The sequence below is a fragment of the Homo sapiens genome, chromosome 12, assembly GCF_000001405.40.
Source record: "Homo sapiens chromosome 12, GRCh38.p14 Primary Assembly".
Taxonomy (NCBI): domain Eukaryota; kingdom Metazoa; phylum Chordata; class Mammalia; order Primates; family Hominidae; genus Homo; species Homo sapiens.
In genome coordinates, this window is record NC_000012.12 from 52,759,902 (window position 1) to 52,785,811 (window position 25,910).

The 25,910-nt window shown below is 46.1% G+C and overlaps 1 protein-coding gene and 1 pseudogene across 1 annotated transcript; one reads left to right on the forward strand and one right to left on the reverse strand.

Annotated features, from left to right (window-relative positions):
• Positions 3,456–4,191, forward strand: ARL2BPP2 (ARF like GTPase 2 binding protein pseudogene 2; annotated as a pseudogene).
• On the reverse strand, positions 8,254–17,444 carry KRT76 (keratin 76). The gene is made up of 9 exons (NM_015848.4): positions 16,791–17,444; positions 15,487–15,701; positions 13,681–13,741; positions 12,882–12,977; positions 12,193–12,357; positions 11,970–12,095; positions 11,098–11,318; positions 9,648–9,682; positions 8,254–9,209 (listed from the first exon to the last, which is right to left on the reverse strand). The coding sequence occupies exons 1-9, from the start codon at positions 17,388–17,390 to the stop codon at positions 8,812–8,814; spliced, it is 1,917 nt and encodes a 638-aa protein (NP_056932.2). The 5' UTR covers positions 17,391–17,444; the 3' UTR covers positions 8,254–8,811.

Sequence of the window (25,910 nt, forward strand, 5' to 3'; positions counted from 1 at the left end):
TGGAAGAGGTCAACCGGAGCCCCCTGGAGGCAAGGAGGACAGTTAGGAGTTTGTCTCTGTCAGCCAGGGATGAGTTAGCAAGAGCCATTACTTCAGTGAACTGGGACACCAGAGTTGGACCTCAGAAATTCAGCCAGTGGGAGAAAGAACATCTGGAATAGACAGAGAAGGCAGGAGGGGGCCTGGGAAGCCTGGCCTAAGTAGCAGCAATCCCTACTCCAGCCCTAGCTTGGCTTTCCTGAATGTCCCAAGCAAGCATTTACCATTGATCAAATGGCAGCATGCCAGAGAAGCCCACCCCCTCCAGAATCCCTGCAGAATGTTCTCATGAGTTCTATATGTGTGGTGGGCTGCCTGCCATCCCTGGGCCTTCACCTCCAGGGTCTTCAAGGATCCCAGGGTCTTCTCCATGCTCCCAGGGCACCAGCTTTTACCAAAAAAAAAGGTAACCTCCCCATCCAAATCCCAGTCAACCAGCCAACTGACCAGCTCCCTCTGGCCCTGTCTCAGTTCAAATTCCCAAAAACAGACTCAGATGAAGATTTGTGTACAGGAAGTTTATTGGAGAGGATCAATATGTAAGGAAGTGAATGAAGCAGGATTGGGGATTGGGGAAAAGTTAAACTCCTATGTAGTTGGGTTGGCTGCAACAAAGGTCTCAGCAAATCCCACCAAGCACTAGACCTGCCAATGGGGAGAGATCATAGCCTAGGGCAAGGTGTTCCTGGAAAGGCACTCTTCTAAGAGCAATCAGGAGCCACAGCAGCTGGAGAAGTGAGTGCTAGGTTCTCAAAAGGGTGAGAGCCCACCACCCATCCACTACAGACCCCACCTAGGGGGCTGATCCTGCTTCTGTTTCTCTCCCAGCCTTGCCTCACTCTGTCATCTCATCTACTACCACAGACATAATTTTGGAGGTGGCCTCTTCCCACAACTTGGCCCCACTTCCCTGCAATCCTGTAAGCCCCTCTGCTGTCCCTCCTGCTAAGCTAGGTTATCAGGGGAAACACCCCACATAATTCAATGTAGGTTCTTTTCTATTTTCCCTAAGTGTAGGCTGGTCTGAGAAATAAAGGGAAAGAGTACAAAAGAGATAAATTTTAAAGCTGGGTGTCTGGGGGAGACATCACATGTTGGCAGGTTCCATGATGCCCCCCAGGCCACAAAACCAGCAAGTTTTTATTAGTGATTTTCAAAGGGGAGGGAGTATACGAATAGGGTGTGGGTCACAGAGATCACATGCTTCACAAGGCAATAAAATATCACAAGGCAAATGGGGGCAGAGCAAGATCACAGAACCAGGGCAAAATTAAAATTGCTAATGAAGTTTCGGGCACATATTGTCATTGATAACATCTTATCAGGAGACAAGGTTTGAAAGCAAAAAACTAGCCTGACTAAAATTTACTAGGCAGGAATTTCCTCGTCCTAATAGGCCTGGGAGCGCTACAGGAGACCAGGGCTTATTTCATCCCTTATCTACAACTGTATAAGACAGACATTCCCAGAGCAGCCATTTTAGAGACCTCCCCCTAGGAACGCATTCTCTTTCTCAGGGCTGTTTCTTGCTAAGAAAAAGAATTCAGCGATATTTCTCCTATTCGCTTTTGTAAGAAGAGAAATATGGCTCTGTTCCGCCCAGCTCTCGGGCAGTCAGATTTAATGGTTATCTCCCTTGTTCCCTGAACATCTCTGTTATCCTGTTCTTTTTGCAAGGGGCCCAGATTTCATATTCTTTAAACACACATGCTTTACGAACAATTTGTTCAGTTAACACAATTATCACAGGGTCCTGAGACAACATACATCCTCAGTTTACGAAGATGACAGTATTAAGAGATTAAAGACAGGCATAGGAAATCACAAGAGTATTGATTAGGGAAGTGATAAATGTCCATGAAATCTTCACAACTTTATGCTCAGAGATTGCAGTAAAGACAGGCGTAAGAAATTATAAAAGTATTAATTTGGGGAACTAATAAATGTCCATGAAATAGTCACGATTTATGTTCTTCTGCCATGGCTTCAGTCAGTCCCTCCATTTGGGGTCCCTGACTTCCCACAACACTAGGTTCTCTCTTTGTCACCCCACCCCAACTATTCTCAGCATCCCCAACAGGGCACTGATTCTGGCACAATTGTGAATGGTTGCTGGATTCTTGAGTGACTAAGGTGCTGTTGGAGTCCTTGCCTCAGGCAAGCAAGAAGACAGGAGCAGCAGCTTCTTCCCAATGTGGAACCACAGAATGGGACTAGGATATATGTAGGACTGGCTTCTAGGTGACTTGCCAGGAGCTATGGTGGTACAAGGATCAGGCTCCCCTGAAGAAGGTGGACTAGACAACACCAGGGCCCCTGGCAAAGAAAAGCAAGACAGGGTGGAGACTGAAAGCTCAGGTTGTAGAGGACAGTCAGTGGGCCCCCTTTAGGGAATTTTCTCCAGTCCTGTCAACACTCAGCATATGATATTAGTATAAAATCCTCTCCATTCATATCATCCTTCCCCAGTAGGTTCTGCTTTGCCTTTGTCTCTTTAGGGGGATCCAGATCTAAATAGACCATCCAGACATAGTCTAAACAATGCAATGTGCCCTGGACAGCCTCTGCTAAAATTGGGATTAAAAGAAATCATTATCTTTTTCTGCTCAAAATGTTGATAGGTCCTTTGATCTCAGACCTACCACTAGGCTGATCATACAGTAGGTAGCCAATAAAATGTGTCTTTCTTTCATCCAGTCATGATACCATGGCAACAGTTAGATGAAATATTTATCTGCATTTATAAGACACTGTTTATAATATCTTTTACAAACAAATGGCTAGTTTTGTTAATCTACAAAGAGTATGTACAGATTATTTAGAAAAACAAAATGATCACTCAAAGAGAAAATGGACTGAATAAGTGAAGAGACAATTCACAGAAAATGAAAGCTAAATAGCGAATAAACATATTTGTAATGCTCAACCTCATTAGCAATCAGATAATGAAAATAAAACAGAAAACTGTCAAAAAAAAAAACTAAAAAGAATACCACACAGTGTTCAGAAGACTGTGGAGAAATAGGAAGTCTTATACGTTACTTACAAAAGCATGAATTGGTACAATCTTTCTGGAGAGCGGCCTGACCATATAAATCAAAAATTTTAAGTGGCCTTGCAATTCCAATAACTTCTAAAAAGTTACCTTAAAGAATGAATAGGACCAGTGTCCAGAGAACTGTGTGTTCATTGCAGCAACATTTATTACAGTGGAAAAAGTAGAAATAAACATATATGTAAAAAGGTGCTACATCTATATAATGGAATATTATGCAGTTATTAAGAAAGACGACTTGGCCATGAGGGTAACAGGTGGCAGGGCATGGCACCTACAGCTCAGTAATCGGGGGGGCGGGGTGCGGGGAAGGGGAGGGATGCACAGGCACAGACTCTGTGGGTCTCAGGCTGATGGGAGGCTGCTTGCCAGCTCCTAGATCAGGGATGGATGCAGCAGCGGAAGTGACGGAAGCCCCAGAGGAAGAGAGCTTTGCACTACCCATCTCTTCCACCTCTGAAGCCAAATTCAATACTGTGGTTGGTTCTATTGAGGCCATCATCATGGATCCCGAGTTCCAGTACCACAGAGAAATTTCATGGACAAATACTACCAGGAATTTGAAGACACAGAAGAGAATAAACTCACCTACACACCAATCTTTAACGAATACCTTTCTTTGGTAGAAAAATATATTGAAGAACAGCTGCTGGAGCGGATTCCAGAATTCAACATGGCGACCTTCACAGCAACATTAAAGCACCATAAAAATGAAGTGGCTGATGACATATTCAACATGCTAGTCACATTTACAGACTTTCTGGCATTTAAAGAGATGTTTCTGGACTACAGAGCAGAAAAAGAAGGCCAGGGACTGGATTTAAGTGGCGATTTAGTGGTGACTTCGTTGTGCAAAACACCTTCCACGCCAGCTATCCAAAACAATCTGTGGCACTAGCTTGCATCTCCAGGCAGTGGGAGACTTCTGGACATCATAGGCCCAGTAGGCGGGGAGAGGCGTCTGTTCTTAATGACAGAATATGTCTTGGAAAGACTGACTGCAGCTCTTCATTAATGTTAAGCATTGATGAATCAAAAAGATAATTACCTGACCCTCCAGGGACCTCTGCTTTTCCTGAAGCACCTTCTTGTATTCAGTAACACTACTGCCCCTGCCAAAGTAGACACACCTCTCTCAGGAACTTCTGAGGGTCAGACTACTCTGTGACAAGAGATTGTGTCAAGCAATCCACCTGGAAGACCCCTTTTCTCACCATACATGTTCCTGTGTCAACAACGTGGAAAATAACACCATCACAAACCCTCCCTGTCCCAGATACCACAGGCAGGCTTTGCACTAAACTTTCGTGTGCTCACAGCTCTTTCACTTGGGTAAGATTTGTAGTCCATCAACCCTAGGGATCCACCTGGGCAGGTATTTTACTTTTTGGGAGTATTTATCTAGGATGTCATTCAAACCAACTGCCCCTGACTTGAGATTTCTGAAGCTCCTATTTTCTGCCCACTATTACGAGAAAACTAGAGCCAGTCTTGGCCAAAAGAAGCAACTGAAAAACAGGTCGTTAACTAAAAGCTACATGGGAAAAATCAATTCCTAGGTGTGGGTTTGCAGTTCTTTTATCACTGTCTTCTGCTAGTCCTGATATAGTCCCACAGTTTCTAGAGAAGCCTTTATTTTTTTAAGCATCATTGTTGAAAAAATATTTTTGTAGATGAATACTCAAGCTGTAGATCTAATACAGTAGATCTGATTTTAGAATTTCTGATTAGCCCCTTAAAGATCTAAGTATTAAATGGCTTGTACTTTTTAATTGTAGTGCTGTGACAGCAAAAATGTTTTCTTTATTGAAATTCCTATTTTACTGGACATCAATGGATATGTGCTATGTGCTGGAAATCAACTAAAAGGTATCTTTTACTTATACCATGTTAAGTGTGTTTGTACAGATTTACTTAAAATCCTTTCCATATAAATCAGTCTGTTAGGTTTTTGGTTGGGGTGGGGATGAGTTTGCTAAGATGTGATTCTTCAAGCTCTGTAATTCCAACTCTATCCTTCTTCCTTTCAAAATATTTCTTGCAAAAAAATAATGTTCCACTGGTCTAGTTCAGCCTGAGTAAGAGAAAGCAGCAAAAGGCTTCAGAGGTACCAAAGGTCATCTGTCTGGCTTCCTGTTAGTAAAATGTTTGGTAGGACATTACTGACTAGAAAACATGTATGTCACACCTCTAGAAAGAAGAAAAACACATAATTGTTTATAGTTCCTAATGTGTACCTTTGATTTTGTTTTTTAAGTAAAAATAAGAATCTGCACTGAAAAAGAAAATTATGATCTCCTTCTACATTTGCTGTTGTGGAAAGATGCTATTTGGTAAATTTCTTATCAGCTAGATTATAAATTCTGTGAGGGCAGAAACTATATGTGTTCTCCCCTGTATCCTTGGGCCTGGCACAGTAGCTAGAAAATGGTAGGCATTCAGTCTATTAATAGTTGTTGAATAACTAAATGGATAAATTCCACAGTACATTACGTGAAAAATCAAGTTAAAAAGCAGAATGTATTGTTAAGACCCCATTGTAAAATATTCTATATATTTCTATGAATATGTGTGTAAGCATGCACATGCATGAATGTAGGAAAATGTCAGGATGGTAGAATCATAGATGATCTTAATCTTCTTTTAATTTGCTAAAACTTTATGCATTTTTTGCTATAAATGTGTGTTGCTTTTATAATTTAGTAAAAGATATCTAGAAGGAGAGGGAGAAGAGTAAAGGGTAAAGAATAAAGGATGGAAAACAACAAAGTAGTTGCCACTAGGAGACAGATTGTTTAATTCTAAAGGCAACTGGTAGGATTTCAAGTATCAATTCCAAAGGGCTCCTGTCACCCTTTTGACCATTCCACACAGGTAAATGTCTACTCTACTTACCCTGGCTGCCTTCAAATGCAAAGAGCTGCCCCAGTTCTGCCTTCAGATGGGCGATGGATTGAGGGATTCTGCAAGGCTGAGACAGCCCAAGATTGCCAGTCTCCCACAGTCTTAAAAATGTTCTATTCTCCCCAGCCCCTATCCTGGCCTCAGACATGATGCCTTCACCCTGGAGCTTCACCATGTGCTCCACTGGCACATGATTTAGTGCCACTGTGTCAAGAACATGGAAGATGATACTAGTCCTGGAGTTCTCCTGGGATTTGGTCTGGATAGCTGAGCCCTGACCCCTTGCCCTTCCTCCATATTGCCCAGAGTCTCTTTCCTTCCCAGGCCTGCTCCAGGCTTCTTCTACAATGTGCCTTTCTAAATAGGCCCCTTCCTTTAATTCTAGGTATCCTTAAGTCTTTCATTACCTTCCTTGGTAGCCCCCTCCACCATTCCTCCTCACAAGAGTTCAAAAGAGGTTCCTAGGCCCTCACTGTAAACTTTTCACTCTGTCCTACCTTGGAGTGTGACCTATCTCATCTTCCATTCAGGCTAAGGGGATGCGGGGCCCACTCTCCTTATTCATCTCTATTCATCCTTTCAATTGACCACCAAACTTTCACTCAGTTCCCCACCTGCTAGGCAGGGCCCTGAGATTAGTACCCAGGACCCAGCTATCAACACACATGGAGCAGATGGATAAAGAGACTGAAGCAGATGTCTCTAAACCCTGCTGCTTCTGTCTTATGAGAAGTTGTGTTGACTCAAGACAGTCAGCCTCTTCCCATTAAGTTAAGCAACACATGGAGCAGAGCTCCCAGGGTGTTTTCCTGTGGGGAGTTGGGGAGACAACCGATTATGTTTCTTGCAGCGTCTCTTAAAAGGCCAGTAAGAGCAGCAATTCAGAACTGCCTGCCCCTGCTCAAAGTACCCAGAGCTAGGCCAAGGGAAAGTGGAAAGGGCACTACCTCCGGCTTGTGAGCCATGAAAAGATGGGCAAGGATTTATTGATCATTCAGGTATAGGAACTTTAAAATGCCCTCTTCTCCAATTCTTGAGGCCAGGGCTACTGTACTTTAGAGATTAGATGGGCTGAGCTAAGACTCAGAAATACGGAGACCAGGCCCTGGCACTCCCCTTGGACATCAGACAAATGTACAGATGCCCTCTTGTTATTCCATCCCTGACCTGTCTTATGGGCAGTAACACATGGTCTACAGTGACTTACAAACTAGTATTTTGCCATGATTAATGGCATGCAGAGGGCATTGGTTGGGGGACAGGGTGGGGAAAAATCACAGATCCTAAATGTCATCTCCCTGAGGCCCCCAATTTTCCTGGTTTCTCTCAGTGACTGTCTCATTACCCCTGTGCCCCCTGGGTTTGGGTTTCAGCTTTCTGAGAATGGCTGGTAAACGCTGGTGTGAGGGCAGGCACACATCATCCCTGTTCCTAATTTTACATCCATCTGGAGTGAGTTTTACTAGTTTAACACTCCCACCCACTCTCTTACCTGATCAATGAGTTTGGAAGGAAGAGTTGAGTTTGCAGAGCAATGCCCCTCCATCTCTTAGGATCTGGCTGTCCACAGTAAGATTATATTCTGCTCTCTTGTTCTCTCCCTCGACTATGAGGGATCTGACCCCATAGGGAAGGCCACAGTGGCCCTAGGCTGCCCCTGCCCAGGTGGAAAATCTGGCCTAATCCTGAGGTCCTGTGATAGGAGAAACCCTTTCCATCCGAGGTAAAAAGACACACGCTCCAGTATCTGCTTTCTTGGTAATAAAGGCAATATTGACCCTCCATCTGCTCATTCATTTGTCTTATTTTTTAATTGGCTCAGAACCTATGCAAGGAAAAGATGTTATGTATTGACCCCTTCAGATTCCAAGAGCTGTGTTTGCAGAAAGAGGATTGCTTCTGTGTCTGGCTGGGATGGGGATGGAACAAAGGAACTGAAGTCCCAGTGGAATCTGTTTCCTTGATGAACTGCAGAACTCACTTCTTCCAAGACTGAATTGCAGAGGCCTGCTCAGAGGCTGGAGGAAGGATGGGATGACTTTCTTGGGAGTGGGGAAGGTTTCCCCTAAACAACATACTCCTGGGCAGACCTATCACGGGAACCTAACCAAATAGGTGGAGAAGCCAAGACTATTCAGTGGCCTTTATACCCACTTTTAAATTCCTGGAAGACCATCACCCCCACCTGATTTCTCATCACTTTTGGGTCGTGATCTATTCTGTGACTCCTGGAATAAAAGACCAACACCAGAATGTGAAGTTCAGTGCAATTTATTGAGAAAAGAAAGTGCAACATACTCATCACCAGAGGATCTACAGCTCAGGGAATTAGGGGACAGAAGGGAGTCAGGATCTGAAGCCCAGATGTAGGGAGGGTTCCCTGGGAACCAGCAGTCTGGAGATCTTGGCCGTGCACCCTCCAGCACAGAACCCATGGCTCTGCCCTCCTCAGACAGTGCTGAGATGACTGGCTTCAAATCTCCAACTCCCAGTAAGAAAGGGAGATGGGCCAGAGTGGGAACAGGCCAGGCTGTGAAGGCCAAAACTGGCTTGGGCTCAGGGGTTGCTGTCCAAAGTAAGGGGCCATTGCAGGAAGGTTTCCAGGGGCATCATCATCCCAGACCAGCAGCAGGACCTCCATGGCCCTGGGAAGGTCATGGGGATGGAGAAACCAGGAGTTCAGCTTCTTCTCCAGGGAACTTGAGGAAAAATGTGGTTGACCCTTATGCATCTATTGATGCCAAGCAGAGAGTGGGAAACACTATTGCAGGCTGAGTGGGAAGCAGGTGGTTATAGAGATTTGGAACAGTAGATCACTTGGTGGAGCTATGCTGGCTTGAGCTCGTGGTCTGGGAGAAGCGGATACTGGTGCTGCCTCCACCACCAGACTTGTAGCCACTTCCTCCAGAAGTCTGGATGCTGCCAGAGCTGGAGCCCATTCCACTGTGGCTCACGGAGATGCTACCTGCACCGCCGAGCCTGCTCCCACTACTGCTGCTCTGGTAGCTCCCGCTGCTACCCCTGCCCCCAGTGCTGCCACTGCTGACCCCTCCATAGCCACTGCCGCTGCCGCCACTGACTCCATAGCCACTGCTGCTGCTGCTGCTGCTGCCGCCTTTGTAGCCACCACTGCCACTGCCACTGACCCCTCCAAAAACTCCACGGCTACTGCCAGAGCTGCCACTTGTGCTGGTGACATTGCTGACCACTGCTACAAGACAACAGGCACACAATTCAGGCAAAGGGCCTGGGAAACTGGAAGCCAAGGACTGTATTACATCCCCACCCTGCTTGGCCATGTGACTTCGAGAAAGATGCTAACTTATCTAATGCCTCAGTTTGCAAACCATGAGAGTGAGCCTGGCCTCTAGTGCCTTCTCCCAAGAACAGGAACCAGAAATCTACAGAAATTTCTGGTTTTCCAACCTAGGCCACTCCCCAAACCAGAGGGGCTTTAGCTTTGGCCTGAGAGGTTGTCAGCTTACACTAGGGGCAGAGCATGTGGCCATGGCCTGAGATCCTAGACGCTGTCAGGTGGCCTGACTTCCTTGGATGGAACAGGCCTTCTTGCCTGAAGGTCAGTCAGTGAGGTTGTTTCTAGCTGCCCTTTTACAACCCAGGGAGAGGGTTTTTTGAATGGGCTACTTACAAATGCACACGGCACTCTGACATTCTCCAGACATCCTGAAAAGGAAGAGGAGAGGTGAATTCTTTCTGTTATGAGTCAATAACCAAAGAGTTGAGAGTTCACAACTTTGGGAGCCACGCCCTCCCATTTGCCCCACTAGGGGTCAAGCTCCTGCAAGAAGAAAGCCTATTCCAAGTCTGTTTCCATGACCATATCTCCCCAGAAAAGGGGGCTGCTTCAAGAGTTGAGAATTCCCACACTTTTCCCCTTAGCCCTTAGAGATTATCTTCTCTAGGCAAACTACTTGATGCCCAGCTCTGCCTTGATTGGCCTGTCCCCACTTCTCATCCCCTGCTAAGACCATCTTCCCACCTTAGCATGCCCTTTCATTCTTCTCTACCCAGCCCTGGATTTTTTATTTCCAATTCTGCCTTTCCAAGAAGGCTTCCACAATGGGCCCTCCTGGGGTGGTGGTGACATGATTGGGGTTGTTCAGGGTGGAGAAAATATGGGAGGGGCTGAAACTCAATGCAGGATGGATTTGAAATGTACCACCTACACTGTCCATCTTCCTGTGTCTTATTCTTGTTAATGGAGCAGGCACATCCACATATCTGAGAAGATATGGATTGGGTCTGCATATCTTGCCAATGTGTGCCCACTGGTGTTGACCATTCCCTCCTCATCCCATGACTCCTAGTACACTTGACATCACCTTCACTCTCACTTTCCTTCTCATACTTGGGTTCTGCTTCCTCCATCAGATTGGGAGCTACCCAAGGACAGAGGGTTAGCTACTCCCTGAGCACATGATGCATTGGGCAGAAACTCAGCAGAAAGATCTCTCAATTCTTGACACTCCTTTAGCATTTGATAAACACTTGCTAAGACTTTATCTGCTGCTTAATGCTGTATTATTTTCCAAGAGCATGGATGTATCAACCGTCTCCCCATATGGACTCAGCTTCAGGGGTGGAGCTTGTAGGACTGTCTATATTGAGCTTTCCAGTATGGTAGCCAGTAGCCACATGATGCTATTTAAGTTAATTAAAATTAAATTAAATGTAAAACTGTGTTTCTCGGTTGCACTAGCCACATTTCCAGGGCTCAAGTGGCCAGTGGCTACTGTATTGGACAGCACAAGAATAGAAAATTTTCATCATCTCAAAAAGTTCCAGTGGACAGCACTGGTCTATCACTTGTCATAATGCCAAAGAACTTTCCTCATACATTGCACATAGTGAAGATCAATAGAGATATGTAACATGATATTGATGTCCATTAAACATTTGAGAGTTGGATGATCTTGATGGACATAAAATAGTGGGGCTTGAACCCTTGACTCTGTCATTCAAGACACTCCTTGCCCTTTGTCTTAGTGTTCCTCTCCTTATCATCTTGCCCCCTTTCCACATTATCAAAGGTCACTCTAAAACCATATCTGGAGAATGGTGATCCCATGGCCCCTCACCTGCACTCCTCTCCCTCCAGCAGCTTGCGGTAGGTGGCAATCTCCACATCCAGGGCCAGCTTGACGTTCATCAGCTCCTGGTAGTCACGCAGGAGCCGAGCCAGGTCATCCTTAGCCTTCTGTAGGGCAGTCTGCAAGTCTTGGAGCTTGGCATTGGCGTCCTTGAGGGCCATCTCTCCACGCTGCTCAGCCTCTGCAATTGCCGTCTGCAGGTTGGCATTCTGAGGTAGAAAATCAATTAGCATAGTGACCCGGAAACAAACACTTGATCCTTACTAGGAGTAGATCTCTTCCCCCACATCCTGCATCCCTTCCTCCCTTTCCTTAGAAATCCCAATGGAGCATGCTCAGAGAAAAGAAGTCAGTTTTGCAGTTGGTTAATTCATCTTTGTCCCATTGAAATCAACTTGCGGCTCATCAAGAAAGGGAGCACTAATTTGCTTTCCTATGCTGTTACAGGTAGTAGTGGTCTGGTTAGTCCCTAATCTTTTTTGCAAGACTGTTAAAAACTCTCTTGCCTAATCACTTCATTCCAATGATACAGAGCAGCCATCAAGGTTATGTGAAAGGTGTGAGAAACAGCTTCACTAAGGGCAGATCCTGCTGACATCTGAGTGTTTAAGTCCAGAACTGCAGTTGCAAGATTTGTTAGGCAAACTAGAATAAACAAACATCTTTCTTGAGTGAGCTTTCCAAGAAGTTCAACCTCCAACAAAAACATCTGGGAGAACAGAGTTTCCCAGACACTGCGCTATCCCACATGTGACACCATGAAAGGATGGAGAGAGCATGTAGCAGAGGAGCAGAGCTTATGCTGCTTCTCTCCGGGGCCCAGAAGACCTCTGGGATCTCTCCGTTAAACCCAGCCCCACCTGCTTCTTGACATTTTCAATCTCAGCCCGTAGCCTCTGGATCATCCTGTTGAGCTCCATGATCTCACTCTTGGTGTTCCTCAGGTCATCCCCATGCCTGCCAGCTGTGGTCTGCAGCTCCCCAAGCTGACAGAGGAAAAACCAATCAACGTGGCTTTTGCAAAGTGTTGGCACATTCTCAATGAAGGTCATCAGGATCCAAGGACACAGGGAGGGTTCCCACCTTGGTCTGGTACAGGGCCTCAGCTTCAGACTTGCTCCTCTGGGCAATCTCCTCATACTGGGCGCGGACCTCGGCAATGATGCTGCCCAGGTCCAGGCAGCGGTTGTTGTCCATGGACAGAACCACAGACGTGTCACTGGCATGGCTTTGCATCTGGGACAGCTCCTGCAGGAAACATGGATAGTTACTCTTACCATCGCCTGGACCAGGGGATGCTGGGAATCCTCTACTAGCGGAGATATCCCAAGGATGGGGCTAGAGGTGGATCAGTTGGAAAAATAAGCTCACATTTTAGGCCTGGCTACAGCCTAAAGGATGTTAGACAACAAGGCTAAAGGAAATATGCAAAATATGCAATATAATTAGGCTATCAGCCTGAAAGTATCAGCCAATGAGTCTTATTGTGTAAGTTTCCATGGGCCCCCAGCAGGGAGGAGTATTATGAAGAAGCCAACTATGACATGGGTATAGAAGCCAGAGAGAAGGTGCAGAGCAAAATGGCCTGAGGACCTGTGGGCCAGGTCTATGCAGACTGAAGAAGCTCAGTTAACATTTCCCAGGTGGGGTGGAGCTGAGTCCTGAGCCCCATTGCTGGTTTTGTGAGTGTTGTGCTGTTTGGCTGTCCCCTAAAGTTATGCTTGGGAAGAATCAGACAGGAAGGTTCTGCAGCTTGCAAACCAAGGAATCACCATCTCATAGAGGGTCCTCAGGAAGCTGACTTCATCTGTCAGGCTGTCCACTTTGGCCTGCAGCTCCACCTTGTTCATGAAAGCCGCATCCACATCCTGCAGAGGAGGTCAGAAACCCAGAGAATGACCCTCTGTTCCCCTCCCACCCAGTGGCTCTTTCCTAAGCCCTCATGTCTCGTCTTTGTTCCGCCCCCAGCTCTCCTCCTAATTGTGACTTCTCATCTTCCCTTTTAAAATAAGGAAGATCAAAATGGCTTTCTTCCTTTTCCTTGCTTGACATATCAAGCCCCAATACTTTAACAAAATACAAACCATAAGGCACAGAGTAACCATCTGATTTTAGGGTAGAAAAATCATATTTACCTAATATGTATGTGACTTTGGTTGTATAGTACCAGAAATCCCACCCTCCTGAACAGAAATTAGGGTATTCTCACTACTTCACTTTTACGATGACTGGTTTAAATATGCTACAAGTATTTGTTGATTGTTATTAATAGCATCTGGAGTACATTTGCAGGCTGAAAATCTTGATTAATCTTACACATAAAGGGCTCATTATTAGTTCGCATTGCTAATCAGCTCATTAGTCACAGTAACATTTTAACATACCTTTCCATGGTAATATACTTAGAGCAGCTTCCTTCATGAAACATTTCATTTCCAAAAATGTAAGGAAAAGTGTCAATCCCACACACAATATAAGGTCCCTGTGCCCCAGAACAGCTGGCTGTGCACTCTCTCCATGGGGGCAGCTCCCAGAAAGGAAACCTGGATATGCTGGTCCAGGCTCACCTACCTTCTTGAGCCCCACAAACTCATTCTCTGCGGCAGTGCGTTTGTTGATTTCATCTTCATACCTGGAACAAGAAGAGGCACACATTTGAACACTGGCATTTCAGAAGTAAAAAAGAGAGGTGAGGATTCCAGGCACTCTCCTCACCTGCGCAGAGACAGGACGAGCTTCATGGGCACGTGCAGTTACACAGGACCCTGGGCTCAGGGTCCTCACACTTAGCTCAATGCTGGCACCATATTGACATTCTTTCTTTTTTTTTTTTTTTTCTGAGACAAGGTTTCACCCTGTCACCTAGGCTGGAGTGCAGTGGCACAAACATGGCTCACTGTGGCCTCAACCCCTCAGGCTCAAGCAATCCTCCTGCCTCAGACTCCCAAATAGCTGGGACTGGAGGCATGCACCACCACGTCCAGCCAATTTTTTAATTTTTAGTAGAGACAAGGTCTCACTTTGTTGCCCAGGCTGGTCTCGAACTGTTGGGCTCAAGTGATTCTCCCTCCTCAGCCTCCCAAAGTACTGGGATTACAGGCATGATTGAAATTCTTAATAATTTTGTAACTAGGTTCCTGCATTATCATTTTGCACTGAGGCCTGAAAATCACGTAGCTGGTCCTGTCCAGAGACCTCTCAGAGCTCAGGGCACTGCCTGGCCCTCTTCCCTCTAAATGCAGTGATGGGCAGAGGTATGGGCAGTCAGTGAGAGGGCAAACTTCAAGGAGCCTGACCACTTGCCTAGGCTCTTTGATTGACTTTGCAAAGCACAATGTGTGCATATGGAACCCAGTGAAATGTGTGCTCTCATTGGGCATTTCTGCCTATTTCCTCAGTTTCTGTTTTCCTTCATTACAGTTACTTCTTATAGGAATTTCAGTTAAGAAAGAATTCATACCTTCTGAATGCATCAAAGTTGTGGGATTCCTGCCTGTTAAGGACTAAAATCTACTACCAAGAGTTTGTATTTCATAAAGCTTGAGGAATTGGACTGATTCTAGGAGAAAAGAGGTCTCTAGGCAGGACCTCTTTTTTTCCTCTAGGAGAAAAGAGGTCTCTGGGATCTCTTTTGGGAATATGAATCTGAGTTGCCACTGAATTCCCAGAGCCCAGCACAGAGCCTGCCACAGAGTGGGTGCCCACCACGTTTGTGTGGTTGAATTGGAATAGGGCCTCTGCAGAGCAGGTGTGCCCGTCCCTGTGGGTTCTGATCCCTGGGGAAGTCGGGAGCTCCCTCCCACCTTGAGAGGCCCAGTTTGCTCCTTGCAGACCTCAGCGGATATGGACTGCAACTTGGAACGTGGAGGAGGAGGCAAACCAAAGCTGCAGAACAGGAGATTGGACGGGACACACTGATAAAGGCCTTTACCAAGTGCAGCCCTGGACCTCTGCCTAGAATCCCCAGGAGCTAGGGGAACACTCACACTCCTGGGGCCTGTCCACACCTATGATTCAGAATACCTAAGACTGGAATACAGGAATACGCATTGTTGACAAGCATCCAAGGTGATTCCTGTGTCCAGTCAAGTGTGGCGGACTCCCCATCCTAAAGGATTCTAAACTCTGGGAGGACTCTTTTGTCCCTCTGGGCTGGAATAGGAGGGGGCCCATCTGGAGCCTGAAATCTGTGTCATAGCCACATGGGAGTCTCAGTCCCCACCCTTTCACCCCCTTCTGCTTTGTCATGTTTCACTCAATAAATCCATCCCAGAGTATTGACTGAAGGCACAGTTGGGAACAGTTGAAATCCCAAATTAGGACCACACCTCCCTGCTAATTCCCCAGAAGGGGAAACTTCCCAGGAGGAGCCCTCACTTCTTTTTGAAGTCTTCCACCAGGTCCTGCATGCTTTTCAGCTCTCCCTCCAGGTTCCCCCTCTCCCCTAGAAGTGAATCTAGCTGCTTGCATAGGAAGCTGATGTAGGATTCAAAACAAGGCTCCAGGCTGCTGGGCCCTGAGCCTGTGGTCTGCTGCTGGAGCAGTTCCCACTTGGTCTCCAGGACCTTGTTCTGCTGTTCCAGGAACCGCACCTGCATGAAAGAGGGGAGAAAAGGAGTCAGCCCCTTGAGTTGGGCATGTGGGGCTGCCCATCCCAAATGTAGAACTGTGGAGAAGGAACCCAGTTCTTCAATCTACAATTTCCCCTGTTTTTTAATTTGGGAAGGATGAAGATTTAGCAAAGGGAGAGCTAGAATTTGTTGAGTGATTATGCCTTACCTGTTATTTTCATGTATTTCCGTCACATTTAATCCTCACAACCACCTATAAAGGAGTTGCTGTGATCCCCATTTTGTAGATAAGGAAACTGAGACTCAAAGAGTTTAAGTTTCCCAAAGTGACAAGTCTACTGAGTGACAAAGCTAAGAATCAAACCCAGGACTGTCCTGGGTCTATAGGGATCCTTCAGAATACCACTGAAGGAGGTAAGCACAAATAAAGTTTGTCATTGTTTTTTAGATGTAAGCTTTTTTCAGCTCCATAAAGGCAGTGAATACAGTCAATGAGGTCTAACATTTCTTTAGAAGTTTCACATAGGAAGACCTCCTTTCAGTTATTCAGCTTGCAGCTGAACTAGAATTCACTTCAGATCCTGGGCTCAGTCCCACACAGACCCAGAACACCCTCCTCTGCCCCAGCATGGACAGCTCAGTTTAATTATTGGCTGAAGCACAGCATCATCTGGAAGGTAAGGCAGCTGCCAATGCACCTCATTTAGATGCAGCCTCAAGATCTGTGCTAACACAAGGTTTTGATTACCAGCTACTTTGGATTATCAAGCAATTGCTTTTCAGGAGAAATTAAAGTAACTGCAATAATTTCATGACTAAAATGGCTCATTCTTCAAAAAGCTAAGAGCATGTTTGGACCCCCACTTCATTTACCCTCATCTCATTCTTAGCAGGAAACCAGGACCAGGAATTCTTCCCCCCATTTCACAGCTGGAAAAAGAAGGCCCAAAAAGTGAAAGGGGCATGATCACTGTCCTGTAGGGACCAAGACAGCACCAGGACAAGAGCCAAGCGCCCCTGCCCTGTGTCTCACAAGTCCCCATGGCATCTTTCTACACCGACCCCTGGGCACCCCAAACCCTCCACAGCACCTCTTGGCCTTGCCCTCACCTTGTCGATGAAGGAGGCAAACTTGTTGTTGAGGGTCTTGATCTGTTCCCGCTCCTGGGCCTTTACTTGCCCAATCTGGGGGTCGATCTCCACATTGAGGGGCTGCAGGAGACTCTGGTTTACAATCACTTCCTGAATTCCCCCAGGAAAGCCCCCAGGGCCAAAGCCACCAGGACCACCAAAGCTGCCAGGCCCACCAAATACACCAGGACCACCAAAGCCACCAGCTCCACCAAAGCCACCAGCCCCTCCAAAACCACTACCTACTCCTCTGCCACCACCAAAGCCACCACCATAGCTGCCCCCAAAGCCACCTCCATAGCCACCTGCAAAGCCACAGCTGCTCCGCCCTCCCCCAAAGCCTCCAGCCCGGGAGCTGCCAGCTGCCACGCTGATGGAGATGCTCTTGTTGCTGCCCAGGTTGTAGAGGCTGCGACTGCCAAAGCTGCCTGCTCCGCTCCTGAAGCCACAGGCCCCTCCACCAGCTCCCCCAGAGCGGGCCACACAGCTCATCCTGCTGCTGCCGGAGACCACAGCAGAGCGGCCAGAGAAACCCTGGCTCCTGCCACTGAAGGATTTCTTGCAAACTTGTCTGTTCATAGTGAGAGAGCTTGGAGGCAAGCTAGTGATCACTTAGCAAGAGCTGAGAGGGATAGGGACAAGAGAGGAGACTGGCCTTTATATAACAGGGAGTTTGGCTTGGCAAAAGGAGAGGCGAGCAATTAGTTGAGAATCATCTTGGGTTTGGTTTGCCTCGTAGGCATTAAGTTACTTCTTGGTTCCCAACACACCTCAGAGATAATCCTCTGGGCCAGAGTGGCTTTGCTTTCTTAGCTTAATCACCTAAACTTGCCTCAGTTGACAAAATGCTGGAGCTCTCCTCCCTCCCTTTTTGTGCTGTCCTCAAGGGTTTCAGGGAACCCAAGCAGCACCTGATCCAGCAGGAGGAAGCAGCTTTAGACACCAGGTGATCCGGAGCCATGAGCTCCCTGACACAGGGGGGTGAGGACCAGGCAACCTCTTCTGAGTGGGCTGGGTCCCTCCCTGCAGCACCACAGTGTCCACAGGCTCCCACAGTGGCTGCGCCCGTCTCTGCCATCATTAGGCCTTTTCTTCCAGTGGCATGTCACCTGTTCCCAACTCTTCAGAGGGCCTGGAGTGGGAGCGGAAGTGAGAGGGGCCCAGACCCATAGAGTCTGCTCTGCCAGCACCTCAGCCAAAGGCATCCATCTCAGCAAACCTGGAGTTTGGGCTGAGAAATGCTACTTATGGGGAAGAAATTACAGTGGAGGTAAACACGTCTAGCTCCTGGAACAGGGAGCAAACAAGTATGAGGTTTGGGAAGAAGAGGGGGCATGCACTGTGGAGAGCCTCAGACCAAGCCCTCCCCCCACCATCCTAGACTGACAGCAGGCAATTTCTGGACCCAGAAGCAAGAGGAGACAGAATCTGGTAACCCTCCAGCTGGCTGGTAGAGTCGGCTCAAGCACCCCATTCATCTTAGGAGGACAGTGTATCTTGTGTCTAGGCCCCAACTCAGATCTTCTGGAGGGGATCCCCTCCCTGCTTTACCCCCTGGTCTGGGTCAGATGCCCCTCCTTGTCTTCCCACCATACCCTGTACTTTTCCCATCGTGAACCTGACATAAAGTATACTTACCTGCTTACTTGTCCATACCCCTCCGGTCCCTGAGCTTCTTGAGGGCAAGGCTTGAGTCCTGCCCATTCTAAATTATCCTAAATGTCCAGCTCCTAGCATAGGGTAAGCACAGCACAAACGTGTTAACTGACTGATGACTGATGTCTAAGAATGCAAATACCTAAAACCAGCTCCCACCCCAGCCCTATGAATGAAAATCTTCAGAGGAAAGGGTTGAGAGTTTGCATTTTTAACAAGCCCTCCAGGTCATTCTTATAATGCGGAAAGTCTGGGAAACCCTGGTCTAGACCATGGCTACACCATATGGGCCAGGAATAGGAGGATGGAGGACCCCTGATGGCAGAACGAATGACACATGATGAGTTACTGCTGTCACTGCCAAGAGCTCAGCAGACCCCAAACCCCATCCAACCCACCTCCGCACCCAAACACACCACACAGGGCAAGACCAAATCCTCAGGTTGTCGTCTGCATAGGAGATTTCACACATATGACAGGAGCAGGTGGCACTGATTCTAGACTCCCTGAGAAATTGGTGGGGGGTCTATCTCCAGAATTCCAGCCAAACTGGCAGTGGGCGCTCTGTCTTTCTGAGTTTCTGGTTTCTGAACAGTCCAGTCTAGGGGAGAGAATTGGTCTGAGAACCTTGGAACCACCTTGAGTTGAGTGACTTCAAGAGCTTTGCAGCTAATTCTCAGCTCTCTGCTCTGCAGCTTATCTGGCGTCAGATCCCAGATCCACTATCCACCAACTTTTAGGCCTTGGACAAGTTACTTAACTTTTATGTGTCTGCTTTATCAATTGTAAAATGGGGCTAAGAATGGCAAGTACTTTATGGGGTTGTTGTGAGCATTAAACAAGTTAAGTAAATATAAAATGCTTAGCCCAGTGCTTGACACATAGCAAGCACTATATGTTTAGCTACTTGCCAGTACTCTATTTGGGGGAATGGAGAAGCAATAACATGTTTGGCCCTGGCTGTTCTCAAGACAACTTTGCATCCCTAAGAAGCTCACCAAAGGTGAGGAAAGGAGGCTGAATAGGAGTGAAGAATTAGAAACCCAACTTGGGATAGAAAAGACTGAGACTTATACTGACTAGGGTTGGGTTGGGTGACCTTGTGCCACGATTTAACGTAAGTCTGTGTTCTAATCTGCCAAACACTTTCCTACCTTACTGGTTTGTGGTGAGACTTGCAGGATAATGTAAGTGAAAGTCCTTTGAAAATCACAAAATTCCACACAGGAGTAAGATAGCTGTGGTATAACAGAAAACCTGTCATCATCATGGAATTCCAAAGACCTGGGTTCAAATCCTATGTCTACCTCTCACTATGTGGTGACCTTGGACAAGGTACTTGACTTCTCTCTCTCCTTATTTTTAAAAGGTGGCATTGATCCTACTTGCAGGATTGTTTTGAAATTTAAATACATAGTATTCAGCAATATATGTTTGGATTTTTAAATTAACATCATTCATCCACAGATAATCCAGGAAGAGGATTTCATGTTGAGTTCTTCCATGAGACATTTATACTCCACCCATCAATTGAATGACAGCCCCTCCTGGTAAGGTCTTTCCTCATATCCTCTGGATCCTTTAAAAGCAGAAGATCACATGCTCTTCCTGGAAAGAAAGCTGAGCCAGGCTCAGCTGAAGCTCCAGGTGAGAGTCCGAAGCAAACAAGAACAGACATAAATGTCTCTGATTCCCTTCCCTCCCTTGGCTGCAGTACTGAGGTGGTGGGTGGCAGCCTCTGATGTGTGGCTCACCTCTGCCACCCTGGCCTAGGCTGGAGAAGCGTGGTGGAGAAAGGTGATGCACAGATCACAAAAGCGCGGGTTTGGGCTGGGTCGCCTAATCCATGTCGCATGAGCCTGCCAAAGCATCACCTTATTTAGCAGATGGGGATTGTCTTCTCAGCAGTTGAATGGAGCTGCTGGAAATACCCAGAGTTGCTATCCTCACCAACATTGCCCTCATTCACTGTAGGATCTTTCAGAACAGTATCTAAAGGGTCTGCCTACTGCCAGCAATCTGAGTTCCAATCCCTCACTGCCAGAACATTCTGTGTAAAGCTTGCCAGATGGCTGAGCACCCTGGATTTTTATTTCCCCACCTATAAAATTGGGGGCACTAAAACCAAGGAGTTATTCCCTCTAACCAAATTGCTCTCTGGTAGTCAACTGCAGTGAGAAGACTTCAGATTGCCTGTAACATAATTATGAGTGGAGGAATGCATCATGAGACAGTAGTCATTATCCTTGGCCAAAGTGAGCAGTCATCCCTCTCCACCACCATCTGCTGAGGATGAGGGAGCCATGGCTGCTGCCTCTTTCTCCATGGAGGTTCGCAGATCCCATTTTCAAGATAATCACCAATTTGTTCTCAAAAATAAAAAAAGAATAATTAACGTTCTGGGTATGCTGCCCCTGGACTAGGAATTAGCATTCTTTTCTTGTTGAAATAAAAGCTTGTCACTAGTGAAGCAATTTTAACCAATGAACAGTAAAAATAATTACCATATAGAGCAAGATTTATAGTGAAAGCTTGATAAAGAAGCAAACATCTAAGTACAACTAAGTCCTTATGTTACTAAGGTCTTAGCTGTTAGCAACCACAATTTGTTCTGATTCTGGTCTTATCTCTACACTTGATTAAAATACACACCAGCTCACCCCTCATTCTTTATCTGGTACTTGGATCTCTCCCAGGGCTTATGCAGGGCAGAATTCTATCTCCCAAGATGGCCCTGATTAAAAGGTTCTGTGATTACATAAATTTGGGAAATGAAAAATCTATAGCTCTTTCCTGGGATTTTAGTAAAGTTGTTTAGTATATTAAAAGCCCAAAGAAGTCCTATAGAAAATAATGTCTTTGCCTTAATTTAATCACAGCTTCCCAAATTTAACAACAAAATCTTTCTATCTTAACATCTACTAACATGCTGTCAAGTATACTCGGGAAACGCTAGTCCAACTAGCCATCCAGGATGGATGAGAATGTGCAGATAGACCAGTGCAGATAGACCAATCAGAGGATTAGGGCATAAGGAGACATCCTCATTCCTGGAGAAAGAGCACTTGCTCCAAGTGAGCTCCTCATCCCTGGAGAGAAAGCACTTGCTCCAAGTGAGATAGCAGGAAACTGAGAGCAGACTAAGGCCTGGGGTTGAAGATGCAGCAAGAAGGGCACTGGGACGCCGAAAACTGAACAGGTTCTCTAAAGACAAGCTCTCCTGTCAATGAATATTTCTCACCAATAAATGGATTTGGCTGAATATTTCCAAAAACCGTGGATATTTCATGGGCATGCTGGATTTTCTGGAACTCAAATAACTTCATCTCCTCCTCTCTTCCCTTGCAGCTTGAAAGAGTGGAAAATATGGAAGCCTTGGAATTAGACGAGCCTGTGTTCAGATCCCAGCCTTGCCACTTTCCAGTTGCATGGCATCAGGCAAGACATTTTACCCTCTGGACCTCAGTTTCCCATTCAGCAAATGGGAGTTAGCACAGCCTCCTCATAGAGTTGCAGTGGGGACTGTAGGAGGTAAAGTTGGAAAACCCTTACACAAAGCAGGTGCTCAACACTTGGCAGCCCTTGTGATGATGATGTCAATGTAGGAAGCCCTCCTAGAAGGTGTCAGTTTGGAAGCTGAAGAGGAAGGAGGAGTTCTAAGGGGTAGCCCAGTTTAGGGTCAAGGCAACAGTGAAGTCTTTGATTATTTTGCAACAAGTTGCAAAGAATCATACTGTCTGTATTGAGAATTACATAAAAGCCATTTTCCCATGTCTGGCCAAGCCATTTTCCCACTACAGGGCCTCGTCAGTAATGCAATCTATCAATCAGCAAATACTTATTGATCTACTACATACTTTTTAGAGGTGTGGGGACTATGTTTCAGTGAAAACAATTTCCTCTTTCAAATCTTAACTCCTATTGCCCATCTGTGAATAGAATTTTAAAACAGCTAACATTGACTGCCTAACATATACAAGTCACTGACAGGTTGTTTACATGTGTCATTTCTAATTGTCACAAAAACTTTGTAAGGTAGGAATTTTCATTCACATTTTACAGATAAGGGCATGAGGTTAATTAACTTGCCTCAAGTCAATTCACTTGCAAGCTTGGATTTTAATCAGACTGTCCAATCCCAAAGCCTGTCGTAAATTCGTGAATGCTTTTCTTCTGCATAGACTTTCAGCAAGTCAAATTACACCATCCCAAAGTGAAAAGTCCACTTTGACATGTAAAGAACCCACCAATATTCTCTCCACCTGACCACCACATGATAGGTTGGACACCAGCCATGTGCAACCTACCATGCTAGCCAGGGCCACCAAGGCACTGGTCAGGACAGTCTCTCAGGGACAGAACACATGGGTGTGCATGGAATTTATAGATGACAAGAGCCGCTCCATCATCTGCAATGTAAAAGGTCTTCACCCTGTTGGAGAAAGAGCAAGAGGCCAGGAGTTTGCGCTGAGCTTAGCTGCTTGCTGGGTCTTAGATGTTGGAGTTGACCACTTGGCCCACAGGAATGATTAGCCACAATCTTCTCTTTCACTTTTTTTTTTTTTTTTTTTTTTTGAGACGGAGTCTCACTCTGTTGCTCAGGCTGGAGTGCAGTGGCACAATCAAGGCTCACTGCAACCTCTGCCTCCCAGGTTCAGGAGATTCTCCTGCCTCAGCCTCCCGAGTAGCTGGGATTACAGGCGCCTGCCACCACACCCAGCTAATTTTTGAATGTTTAGTAGAGACGGGGTTTCACCATGTTGGTCAGGCTGGTCTTGAACTCCTGACCTCAGGTGCTCCACTCGCTTCGGCCTCCCAAAGTACTGGGATTACAGGCATGAGCCACCGTATTTTGTTTTTGCTCACCAAACAGGTAATCAAGATGCACCTTTAAATAATACATTTGTGTTGCATGTTAAAAAAAAAAAAAAAAAAAAAAAAACCCCAACCTTAGAAGGTAATGGTCAGATCTGCCTTGAAGCATCAACTTGTGTTGATGAAAATAGTTTTAAACTTTGTGAATTCCATTGTGGCATCAAGGAGGAACACCCATCATTATCAAGGTATTCTCCCAATCAATCTCAATGGCTTCTCTGTCTGGAGATCAGAACTCCCCAGAGTTAAACGTGGGCCTGCTCACCATCACAGAGCCTTAGCTGTAGAAATCTCGTCTGCTAATGTAGGAACTTCAGGTTTGGTTTCTGGCTCAAAACTATGGAAAGTCGTTAGTCCACATACAAGGGAGGACATCCTAGAATCCAAGAAGACACCAGCCGGCCCCATTCAGCAGCATAGCACAGTAGTTGCATGTGTACACTTTGGATTTGAGGCCAGATCTGCCACTTCCCATCAGTCATGTTACTCTGCTTCTCCAAGCCAGTGTCCTCATCTAGAAAATGAGGATAATTGCCGCCTGCCTCTTATGGCAGTTGCAAAGGATGAAATGAGATGACATATGCAAAATGCCCAGAATATGACTTGCACTAGTCACAAAAGTTAGTTGTTTAATCCAGTTGTTTTTGTTAAATATGTCAGGGCAGTAATTATCTTTAAGAGTCTACCCTACCCTTTTCAAAATCTCATTAGCTTAGTGAAGCTCACAGTGCCTGCTATGTGCCAGGCATTTTGCTGGTCACTGAGGAGCACAAAGATGAATCAGGCAGAGCCATCCCTTCGAGTAACTTCTATCTTAATGTGGAGAACAGGCACTGAAACTAGTCATTTTAATATAATACGGCACATGATAAAAAGGGATAGACAAAGTCCCATGGGAGTCCAGACAGATGCTCAGTGCCATGGAGGGTCTAGGAAGGTTTTCAGAAGGCAGTGCCTGGGTAATCCTCAGTGATGAGTGAGGCAGGGCAAGTGGGTGAAGGCGGGATGAGCATTCCTGACAGAGAACAGAGCATCAAAGGCACAGAGGCGTGAGAAAGCCAGGTTGATACCAGAACTGCAGGCACCTTGTAGGCCATTTGCACAGGTCTTGAAAGTCTCCACATAAGGCCACACTGTTTCCTTGGCTTTTTTCCTATGTCTTCATCCAGAATAAAAGGGCATTTCCGTTTTAAAATAAACAAACTTCGGCCAGGCATGGTGGCTCATGCCTGTAATCCTAGCACTTTGGGAGGCCGAAGCGGGCAGATTGCCTGACTCAGGAGTTCGAGACCAGCCTGGGCAACATGGTGAAAGCCGGTCTCTACTAAAATACAAAAAAAAAAAAAATTAGCCAGGCATGGTGGCATGCACCTGTAGTCCCAGCTACTCGGGAGGCTGAGGCAGGAGAATCACTTAAACCCATGAGGTGGAGGTTGCAGTGAGCTGAGATCATGCCACTGCACTCCAGCCTGGTGGCAGAGCGAGACTCCATCTCATAAAAAAAAAAAAAAAAAACTTCTACAAATACATACTTCCCTCAAATCCACAAGGATCTCTATCCAGTTCAACTATAACCCATATCACTGTAACTAAAGATCTTCTCCCAAGGAGAGAAATGAATGAGACGACCTCTTGTTTGGCACAGCTTTCTCTGCAGTGGCACTGTGGACATTTGAGGCTGGCTGTTTATATGTTGAAGGGGGCTGGCTTGTGTGATGTGGGATGTTTAGTAGCAACCTGGCTTCTACTCTCTAGATGCCAGTAGCACTCCCCGACTTGTGACAACCAAAAATGTCACTAGACATTGCTATATGTTCCCTGGGGAGCAAAATTGCCCCCACTGAGAGTCACAGCATTAGTTCCACCTAGAGTCACCTTCTCCTGCCACCGTCTTCTCCAGTGGTTGACGGAGCTGTCACCATTCAGTCTCATCACCACAGATTCCAAAAGTATCAGATTCTCCCAGCACACCTCCATCAATGGTTCCCTAGGAGAGCCAAGTCACCTTCAGCCTTCAGCCTGGACTGGAAGTGTTGATGGGGATTAGCTCTATCTTAGGCACAACAGAGATGTGTGTTAGACAATGTGTATGCCAGAAGGGCTTGTGAAGGATGTAGTGAAGATTCAGATAAAATGTGTGAAGAAGCATTTTCAGAACTTAAGTGAGTTTTTCTCGGTCATCCCAAGATTATCTCAAGGTTCCCACACTTTTTGTCTTTGTCTTTGTCTTTGCATAGAGGGAGAATACACATGGGCTGAAGTGCTGAGAAGGCAGAGAGAAGAGGCAGTCCAAATCCCAGAAAGTGAGATCTCTGATGCTTGGCTAACAAACACTCCACCCAGTTCTAGGCAAAACAGAGAAGAGTCATGTAGAGATTTACCTGCAAATTACACAAAACGTTACATGCAAAACTTGATCATCAGCAGTCAAGTCTAGATTATCCATAGGCAAGCGCTGAACTACTTTCAAATTCTTGTGGAAAACAACCCTCTGATTTCCTTAACTGAGCCTTTCATAGGTGTGACACTGTTACCACTGATACTTGCTCTGACATGTAGCCTGTATTC